Below are 11,343 nucleotides of genomic sequence, written 5' to 3' on the forward strand. Positions count from 1 at the left end.
ATCCCTCCAGAGTGTACCCTAGGATCACCACAGGGATCTGACTCAGGATGGGGGCAGTGCTTGGAACTATTAAGGCCACAGTTTACAGTGGAAAGAGTAGCTTTCAGGACCAAAAGAACCCAAGCTGATACGGCCATAACAACCCTTTCTAAATTCAAAGAAAGGATAGAGTAGTCTACTGCTCTGTGGGCAGTTGAGAGTGCTTCAAGATTCCTAGGCTTTGCCTGTGGTACCACCTCTGGGCAAAGGACACCATCAAGAAAGTAAAAACTGACAACCCACAGGATGGGAGAAAATTTTTTAAAACCATATATCTATATATCTGATAAGAAACTCTCTCTCATACGTATACATATATATAATATGTTATAAACATATATAATGTACATATGTAATAAATCAGAGATTAATTTATAATAGGAATTGGCTCATATGATTATGGAGGCTAAGAAGTTTCATGATTTGCCATCTGCAAGCTGGAGACCCAGTGGAGAACCAGAAAAGCTAGTGGTACAATTCAGTAAGAATCTGAAAGCCAGAGACCAGAGACACTGATGTTGAGTGCAGGAGACAATGAGTGTCCCTGATCAAACAGAGAGTGAATTCACCCTTCCTCCAGCTATTTGTTCTATGTGGGCCCTCAGCAGATTGAATGATGCACCCTACATGGGTGAGGGAGATCTTCTTTACTCAGGTTACTGATTAAAATGCTAATCTCTTCCAGAAACACTCTTTCACAGACACACCCAAAAGTTTTACCAGCTATCTGGGCATCCCTTAGCCCATTCGAGTTGACAGATAAAAATTCACCATCATGCTAGGGAAATGCAAATCAAAACCATGAGATACACTCATGATTGTATAGTTAGGAAACGCAACAAACAGCAGCACCCTCTCCATGCCTCTGCATAAGGTCATCACTAGGATGAATGTTATAAAGACAAATAATAACAAATGCTGGAGAAGATGTGCAGAAATTAGACCCCTTGTACATTGCTGGGTGGAATGTAAAATGGTTAGAGCCACTTTGTAAAACTGGCAGTTCCTCATAATGTTGATTATGGAGTTAAGATATTTCATAGATATTCCACTCTTAGGTATACGTCCAAGGGAATTGAAAACATATGTCCACACAAAAACTTATAAATGAATGTTCATAGCAGCATTATTCTCACACACACACACACACACACACACACACACACACACACACACACATATATATGTGTCCTGTTGGTTCTGTTTCTCTGGAGAACCCTAACTAATACACCTAGTGACTAATGATATTGAGCATCCCTTCATTTGCTTATTGGTCATTGTGTATCTTTGGAGAACTGTATATTCAGACCCTTTAACCATCTTTTAATTGGGTTACTTGTCCTTTTGTTATTAAGTTGTAACTGTTTTTAATATATTCTAGATACAAGTCTCTCATCAGATATATGATTTCCAAAAATTTTCTCCCATTCTGTGGGTTGTCAGTTTTTACTTTCTTGGTGGTGTCCTTTTAAGAATGGAAGTTTTAAAATCTGATAAAGTTCAATTATCTATTTTTTTCTTTTGTCACTCGTGCTTTTGGTGTCATGTTTAAAAATCCATTGTTTAATCCAAAAACCACAAAGATTTGTGCTTACGTTTTCTTCTAAAAGTTTTCTAGATGTAACTTGTGCTTACGTCTTTGATCCATCTTTTGTTAATGTATGTATGTGGTATGAAGTAGGGGGTCCAACTTCATTCTTTTGATGTGCATATTCAGTTGTTTCAGCACCATTTGTTGAAAACACTCTTTTTTCTCTCAATTGAATGATCTTGGCACACTTGTCAAAAATCAGTTAACCGGCCGGGCCTGGTGGCTCACGCCTGTAATCCCAGCACTTTGGTAGGCCAAGGAGGGCGGATCACGAGGTAAGGAGATCAAGACCATCCTGGCTAACACAGTGAAACCCCATCTCTACTAAAAATACAAAAAATTAGCTGAGTGTGGTGGCCGGCACCTGTAGTCCCAGCAACTCGGGAGGCTGAGGCAGGAGAATGGCGTGAACCCGGGAGGCGGAGCTTGCAGTGAGCCGAAATCATGCCTCTGCACTCCAGCCTGGGCAACAGAGAGAGACTCCATCTCAAAAAAAAAAAAAATCAGTTAACCATAAAAGTGACTCTTATTTCTGGATTCTCAGTTACATTCTATTGATCTATATGTCTATCCTTATGCAGGTACCATGCACTCTTGATTACTGTTACTTTGTAGTAAGCTTTGAAATTGGTTAAGTGTGAGGCCTCTGCCTTTGTTCTTTTTCAGGATTGCTTCCGACCGGGTGCGGTGGCTCATGCCTGTAGTTCCAGCACTTTGAGAGGCCGAGACAGGCAGATTGCTTGAGCTCAGGAGTTCGAGACCAGCCTGGACAACACGGTGAAACCCTGTCTCTACCAAAAATACAAAAAAAAAAAAAAAAAAATTAGCCAGACGTGGTGTCAGGAGCCTGTAGTCCCAGCTACTCAGGAGGCTGAGGTGAGAGGATTGCCTGAGCCTGGGAGGCAGAGGTTGCAGTGAGCCGAGATCACATCACCGCACTCCAGCCTGGGTGACAGAGAGAGACTCTGTCTAAAAAAAAAAAAAAAAAGATTCTGGTCCCTTACATTTCCATTTTTGTCAATTTCTGCCAAAAAAAAAAAAAGGTAGCTGGGATTTTAATAGGAATTGCCTTGGGTCTGTATATCAGTTTAGAGAGTATTGCCACCTTAACAATATTAAGTCTTCCAATACATGATAATGGGATAATGTTCCATTTAGTTAGGTCTGTATTTTCTTTCAATAATGTTATCTGGTACACTGACAAGTGTACAAGTATTGCAATTCTTTCGTTAAATTTATTCCTAAATACTTTACTTTTTTTTTTTTTTTTTTTTGAGACAGTTTCACTCTGTTGCCCAGGCTGGAGTGCAGTGGCGCGAGCTCGGCTCTCTGCAACCTCCACCTCCTGGGTTCAAGCGATTCTCCTGTCTCAGCCTCCTGAGTAGCTGGGATTACAGGTGCGCACAACCACGCTCGGCTAATTTTTGTATTTTTTTGTAGAGATGGGGTTTTGCCATATTGGCCAGGCTGGTCTTGAACTCCTGACCTCAGGTGATCTGCCTGCCTCAGTCTCCCAAAGTGCTGGCATTACAGGCATGATCCACTGTGCCCAGCCTACTCTTTTTTAGTTCTATTATAAATGCAATTATTTTATTACTTTCATTTTTCAGACTGTTCATTGCAAGTATATAGGAATACAGTTGATTTTTGTCTGTCTTTTATCATGGGACTTTGTTGAACTGTTGATTTATTAGCTTTAATAGTTTTTTTGTGATTTCTAAAGGATTTTCTGCATACAAGGTCACTTGCAGAGAGTTTTCCTTCTTCCTTTTCAATCTGGATGCCTTTTACTTATTTTTCTTGCCTAGTTACACTGGCTAGGACCTCCAGTACAATCTTAAATAGAAGCAGTGAGAGTGGACATCCTTGTCTTGTTCCTGATATTGGGGAGAAAGTTTTTAGTCTTTTACCATTAAGTATGATGCTAGCTGTGGATTTTTTGTAGATGCCCTTTATCAAGTTAAGGAGGTACCCTTCTCTTTTTAGTTTGTTGAGTGTTTTTATTATGAAAGGATGTTGGGTTTTATCAGATGCTTATTCTGCATCTGTTGAGATAATCATGCTATTTTTTCCTTTCTTCTATTAGTATGTTGTATTACAATGGTTGATTTTTATATACTGAACTAACCTTGCATTTCCTGTAATAAATTCCAATTGGTGATGAAGTATAATCCTTTTGATACATTGTTGAATTTATTTGCTAGTATTTTATTGAGGAATTTAGTGAATAGATTTTAAAGGAATGGATATTGGTCTGTAGTTTTGTTTTGATGGCTTTTCTGGTTTTGGTATCAGAGTAATACTGGCCTCACAGAATGAATTGGGAAGTATTCCCTTCTCTTGTATTTTTTGAAAGCATTTGACAAGGCTTGGCATTAACTCTTCTTTTATTCTTTAAATGCTTGGTAGAATTCACCAGTGGAGCTATCTGATCTTGGACTTTTTGTTTTTGGTGGGAATACTTGATTACTGATTCAGTCACTTTATTTGTATAGTTCTATTCAGACTTTCTATTTCTCCTTGAGTCAGTTTTGGCAACTTTTGTCTTTCTAGAAATTTGTGTGTTTCATCTAGGTTATCTAATTTGTTGGCATACAATTGTTCATAGTATTCTCATATATTTTTTCAAATTTCTGTGATGTCAGTAGTAATGCCTCCTCTGCTATTCCTGATTATATTAATTCAAGTGTTTTCTCTTTATTTCTGGGTCAGCCTAGCTAAAGTTTTGTTAATTTTGTTGATCTTTCCAAAATATCAGCTTCAGTTTTATTGATTTTCTTATTTTTATCCTCTATTTCATTTTTTCCTTTGTAATATTTTTATTTCCTTCTTTCTGTTTGCTTTGGATTTAATTTGCTCTTTTTTCTAGTTTCTTAAGGTAGAAGCTTGGGTAATTGATTTGAGATCATTCTTCTTTTTCAATGTAGGCATTAATAGCTATAAATTTCCCCATAAGCAATGCTTTAGCTCCATTCCATCAGTTTTGTATGTTGTGTTTTTTGTTTTCATTCATCTCAAAATATTGTCTAATTTTCCTTGTGATTTCTTCCTTGACCCATTTTTTTAGGAGTTTGTCTTTTAATTTGCACGTTTGTGAATATCCCAAATTTCCTTCTGTAATTGACTTCTAATTTTATTCCATAGTGGTCAAAAAACATACTTTGGATGCTTTCAACCTTCTTAAATATATTGAGACACAATTTATGGCTTAGCACATGGTCTAATTTGAAAAATATTCCATGAGCACTTGAGAATAATGTGTTTTGCTGTTGTGGGGTGGAGTGTTCTAAAGATGTCTGTTAAGTCTAATTGGTTTATATTGTTGGTCAAGTCTTCTATTGCCTTGTTGATCTACTGTCTGTGGGCTGCATGCAGCCAAGGAAGGCTTTGAATGCAGCCCAACACAAATTCGTAAACTTCTTAAAATATTATGGGAATTGCAAAACATTTTGCAATTTTTTTTAGCTCATCAGCTATTGTTAGTGTTAGTGTATTTTATGTGTGGCCCAAGACAACTCTTCTTTTTCCAATGTGGACCAGGGAAGCCAAAAGATTGGATACCCCTGGTCTAATTGTTCTATCCACTAGATAAAGTTAGGTATAGAAGTCTTTAATCGTTATTGCTGAATTGTCTATTTCTTCCTGCGGTTCTTTCAGTTTTTGCTTCATATATATCAGGAGTCTGTTTTTAGATGTGTATATGTTTATAATTGTTATATCTTCCTGAATTATTGACAATTTTGTCATTATAAAATGCTCTCCTTTGTCTCTAGTAACAATTCTTGTCTTAAAGTCTATTTTGTCTGGTATTAGCATATTTTCTCCAACTCTCTTTTGGTTACTGCATTAGTCCATTCTCACACTGCTATGAAAGAATACCCAAGACAGGGTAATTTATAAGGAAAAGAGGTTTAATTTACTCACAGTTCCACATGCCTGGGGAGGTCTCAGGAAACTTTCAATCATGGTGGAAGGCAACTCTTCACAGGGTGGCAGGAGAGAGAAGTGCTGAGCAAAGGGGGAAAATTCCCTTATAAAACCATCAGATCTCGTGAGAACTCACTCACTATCACAAGAACAGCATGGGGGTAACCGCCTCCATGATTCAATTACCTCCCACTAGTTCCCTCCCACAACATGTGGGGATTATGGGAACTACAATTCAAGATGAGATTTGGGTGGAAACACAGTCAAACCATATCAGTTACTGTTTGTAAGATATGTCTTTTTTCCATCTTTTTACTTTCAAATTAATTGTGTCTTTGAATCTAAGTCATGTCCCTTATACATAGCACATAATTGGATCATTTTTAATTCATTCTTTCAATCTCTGCTTTTTTATTGTAGGCTTAATCTATTTAAATTTAATATAACTAACAAAAGGTAGGATTTGTGTCTGGCATTTTTCAATTTGTTCTGTATGTGGCATGTCTTTTTTGTTTATCAGTTCCTTCATTACTGCCTTATTTTGTATTAAATGGACAGTTTCTAACCTACCATTTTAATTACTTTGTTGTTTCTTTTGCCATTTTCTTGATCACTTCCCTGGGGATTGCAATTAACATATTAAGTTAGAAAAACTAGTTGAAATGAATACTAACTTAATTTCAATATTGTACAAGAATGTTGTTCCAATATAGCTCCATTCCATCCCTATTCCTATGTATTGTTATTGTCATACAAAACCCATCTTTATACATTGTATGTGTATCAACACATATTTGTCATGATTCCTTTATGCAGTTGTCTTTGTTTTTATTTTTATTTATTATTATTATTATCTTTGAGACAGGGTCTTGCTCTGTCACCCAGGCTGGAGTGCAGTGGCATGATCTCGGCTCACTGCAACCTCCACCCCTCAGGTTCAAGCGATCCTCCTGCCTCAGCCTCCCTAGTAGCTGGGACTACAGGTATGTGCCACCACACCCAGATAATTTCTGTATTTTTAGTAAAGATAGGGTTTCACCATGTTGGCCAGGCTGGTCTCGAACTCCTGACTTTAGGTGATCTGCCCGCCTTGGCCTCCCAAAGTGCTGGGATTACAGGCATGAGCCACTGTGCCTGGCCACAGTTGTCTCTTAAATCAAAAAAGATAAAAAGGAATGTGTTATGAGGCCTAAAATTAATATTATGTGCTGCCTTGACATGGTAAAATTGGCCTAACTGCAAATTCTCCTTCCCACTCTGTTTCCACAGATAAGGTCTTCTAGCCAAGCAATCCTCCTTATCATGCAGACCAGGCACAGTTCATGCTCATCCCTGAATATTAACAAAGATTTTCTCATTGACAAAACTCTACTCAGTCTCAGGCTCCTCTGAACTCTTTTTCAACCAGGCCTAACTTTTAGACTTCCATGTGTATCTCTGCATTGTCCAATTTTAACAAGAATCCATGAAGTCAGTTTAACCAGAACCTCTCACCCTTGATATCTGATCCCTCCATATCTAATCAGGCTCTTCATCTTCATCCTCCATCATCACCCTGGCCTGCCTTCAGGAAGCATTCTGCTAGGTTGGTTTAATCAGAATTCTCCCTGGCCTGGTGCAGTGGCTCACGCCTGTAATCTCAGCACTTTAGGAGGCTGAGGTGGGAAGATCGCTTGAGCCCAGGAGTTTGAGACCAGCCTGGGCAACATAGCAAGACCTTGCCTCTATTTAAAAAAAAAAAAAAAAAAGAATTCTCGTTTACCCCTGCTGCTTCCTCTTGGTAATTTGCCATCCACTGACCCCTACCCTGCCCCCTGGCTATAAATTCTCATTTTCTTATGCTGTATTGGGAGTTAAGCCCAATCTCTCTCTCACACCATAAGATCACATTACAGTGGTCCCTACACCTATCACAATGCTCCTGAATAAAATCTTCTTTACCATCTTCAACCAGTGTAATTTAATAATTTTTTTCTTTAAGAGTAGTGGGCTTTAGTTCCCTGCCAGCCCATAGAATTGTTTAAACAAGCCAATCACATCCTCCCTCAGGAAGCAAAGGCTACCCACCCTCTTGCTACTATAGAGCCTGCCTCCCACAGCACCTGGTTGTTCACTGTTCCAGATTGCAAACCTCTTGTGGCCCTGTGTGTTATGTGGTATCCTTCTCCCCCAGGCTATAACTATATGTGACTAATAAATTGCTGTCAATCTCATCTGTCCAGTGTTGGGTGTTGTGTTTTCAGCTATACTTATAACCTTACGGTGGAATCCCTCCCTCACCAATGGGGTGGAGGGGAAGTGATCAAAACAATTGGTGTCGTGAATGGGATGTACCAACAATAACCAAGGACACCTGGTCAGCTTTAATTAACTGCTCACGGCTAGTTAACTAGTTTCATGATATGGCAAATACTGCCTGGAACAGAATTGCTGATTACTAGTGGACTTGTGCTTTGGCTTGCATGGAACTGTGTTTTCTTTGCCAGATGTCGCCATCTCTTCCCACTCGAAATGCTATAATCCTCAAGACAAGAACTTCTGTTTATTGACTATACTGTGGCATGATGTGCCACTGGGTTTGGCCTGTGTTGGGCAGATAATCTCTGAGGCTTCTGCCTGTGGAAGTGACAACACAGCATCCTAATCAGCTGACACCTGAGTCCCACCTTACCAAAGGCAGAGCTGGAGCTCTCTGATCACTGTGTATAGCCTAGTTACCATCACTGGCTGCTTGGGACAGCCATGAAACCGTTCGTGATTGTGTACTCCCAAGATGGCCTTTTGTAGAGTATGTGGAAAAGAAGAAGACCACCACCCTGCGGAGAATTAAGCATGGCATTTTGGTTGCATAATAGTCATTGTTGTTCAGGCAAGAGTTGCTTCTCTCCTGTGATACTGCTTCCATTGCTGCTGTTGTATGTGCTCTCCTGACCTCCAAAGGTATTGAGGTGCACATCCATGGTGGCCCATGGCCACACACTGATTATTTAAAAATGAGAAGGAGCATTTTGTACTCAATTGCTCTCCCAATGCATAACCCCTAGCCAATGTACCTGGGATTTGTTTAGCACTGTTGCTTACCAGCACGCCAAAGGGCTAATCTTGTGACAGCAGGACTTGATAGATTCCATCCAGGCCACAGACAAAATTATCTTACTGGATGTGGAACTCAACCCTGGAAAGACTGATTGGCATTCTCTTGAAGAGGAGGCCACCACCTATGAGTCGGGCCCCAGGAACCCAAACCTGTTCCCATAACCATCAAGAAGGGCTGCATCATGGTGATTGTGCAGACAGAAACTGAAAGCAACAACTTTATGTGACTATAAATCTAAATTATTACAAAGGAATCTTGTGTTTGTTTGTTTGTTTGTTTCTTTTAGAGACAAGGTCTCCCACTGTCATCCAGGCTGGAGTATAGTGGTGCAGTCATAGCTCACTGTAACCTTATACTCCCAGGCTCGAGCAACCCTCCCGTCTTAGCCTCCTGAGTGGCTAGGACTACAGGCACACTCCACCACACCTGTTTTTTTTTTTTTTTTTTTAAGAGATGGGGGTCATTTTGTGTTATCCAGGCTGGTCTCGATCTCCTGGCCTCAAGTGATCCTCCCTTTGCAGCCTCCCCAAGCACTGGGATTACAGGCATCAGCCACTGCTCCTGGCCTAGTATGAGGGGATTTTTACAGCAGAAATAGTGTGGACAAAAAGGAAGCCTGTGTGGGAGAAAGGGCGGGTCTGTAGCAGAATTGTGGGCACAGTGCTCTTCTGCTACGCCACTCTCCTGCTTATGCCTCCATTGCAATAAAGAGCTCAAATTTCAAGCTTGCAGGAAAAAAATTAAATTGAAACAGAGGTCCACAATTTGACATAATTAGATATTATTGACAAAATTATTTTCACAACAAAAAGAAAAAAGGCTCTGATTGGCTTTTGTGCCTCTACAAAATAGGTTCTGAATTAACATCAACATTTGCTGAAAGAACAAGAAAAAAGGAACAAAAAAGAAAAAAGAAAAGAACAATAAAAAATCATTTGCCGAAATGCACTAATTGGCAGGCTTTCATGGACTTAATCAATACTGAGGCTCAAATTACAGTTATACATGGGGACCCATTATATTTAAACAAGATACCCCCTAAAATCTTAAGGGAGTTGCCAAATATAAAATAGAGGACAAATAAATATGCCTCACCTTAACCATCAGAATTAATATTTTGTCTAAATTCCTTATGGTCGTAGTACCCATTATCCTAAAGTATCCTGTGGTGGGCAAGGTTACTCTGACCCACGAAAAATAAAGTTAAATTATGTCTTTCACACTTAAAAACTGGCTAAACTAAATGAGATGCCATGGATCCCCCCAGTTAAAATAATTACTATGGCCCAATGTAACTTAAAACAGAGCTTCAAGGGTTAAAACTTATTATTTAAGACCTAATTAGTGAAGGAGTGATTACTCCCACTGCTCCTCTATTTAACATCTCAATTGTCCTGATCTTAAACCTGAAAAGAATGAATGGGGCGTCACACTGGGTAGCTACAACCTCAATGCTATGGTCTCATCCACTGAGGCCCCCATACCCAATACTCAATATTATTGGAATTACTGACTCATCCAATGAGCAATTGGTAAATATTGTCCTATTTTAGATTTGGATATGTTCTGTTTAGTGTCTTTTTCATAGCCTCTCAATTGCATTTGTCTCCACCACCTAAAGGACACAATACATGTTTGCCAGGCCTTGCCTGGCACATAATCTTTGCAGGCAAGATCCCAATTGCACTCACCTTTCTGTAGGGGCACACGTATGACCAGGTATGACATTACATTGATGACATCCTCCTCCAAGGAGATTCATCTGACACATTTATTAAGGACTTACAAATACAAAGGAGCTCACAAAAAGGGGGAAGAACATTGCTCCACACATAGTGTAAAGCCCCGCCACCTCTATTAAATTCCGGAACATTATTTGGTAAACTGAAAGCTACTGTATTCCTGACATTGTTAAGAAAAAACTATCGATCCTTTTAGCACCCAGTGTTAGTATGTCCATCTTTTAGTACTTTTGGGGTTCTGGAAGCAACATATTCCTCAGTTTCAAATTTAATTAATTTCACTGATGTTGTTATTTGCAAATCAGCCCACCTTGAATGGATCCTTCTCCAACAAAAAGCCTAGAATCTGTCCAAATTCAAATCAACAGGCACTCCTGTTAGTGTCCTCAGAGACTCATTCACCATAGAAGCTTTAGCAACCTCCTCTCATGCCTTCTCGGGTCTCTGGACCACCTATGACGAACATAAGCAGTCCATAGGCTTCTGGTGCAAGAAACTGCACTGCCCTTCTCAGACCTGCACTATATACCATTAGGGCAGCAATTGCTGGCCACATACTGGGCTATCCTGAAAATCTAGGCTCTTGCAGCCCCTGTACCTGTAATCTTCTATACCCAGCTGCTCATTATGTCTTGTGTTATGGAAGCAGAACCTCACAAGCACAGCACAGCTACTGAGGCCTCTTTGCTACAGAGCAGAGCCAAACCTGGTCACTCTAGTAAATCTTACAGGAGGGACTGGCCTCCCTTATTCTCAGTCTTGTTGGATGCCATAATACTGGAGGAAGTCAGCCCTCTCCCAGGCCCTTGGCTACCTGAAGAACCTCCTTAGGATCAACTGAGTGATCAGCAATAGAAATTCATACACTTTATGGATGATATCTTGCCATCATACATGATGGAGTTCAGCAGAATGTTCCTGCTTTTCCATCCCTTAACCAGAATGTC

General features: G+C 39.8%; 1 annotated feature.

The window, feature by feature from the left end:
* Positions 9,657 to 10,399: an enhancer, noted in NCBI's record as "OCT4-NANOG hESC enhancer chrX:119466056-119466798 (GRCh37/hg19 assembly coordinates)". NCBI's record gives its function as "activates a minimal SCP1, AML or CMV promoter by ChIP-STARR-seq in primed H9 embryonic stem cells {active_cell/tissue: H9 hESC(primed)}" and the evidence as "EXISTENCE:reporter gene assay evidence [ECO:0000049][PMID:30033119]".

The sequence above is a fragment of the Homo sapiens genome, chromosome X, assembly GCF_000001405.40.
Source record: "Homo sapiens chromosome X, GRCh38.p14 Primary Assembly".
Taxonomy (NCBI): domain Eukaryota; kingdom Metazoa; phylum Chordata; class Mammalia; order Primates; family Hominidae; genus Homo; species Homo sapiens.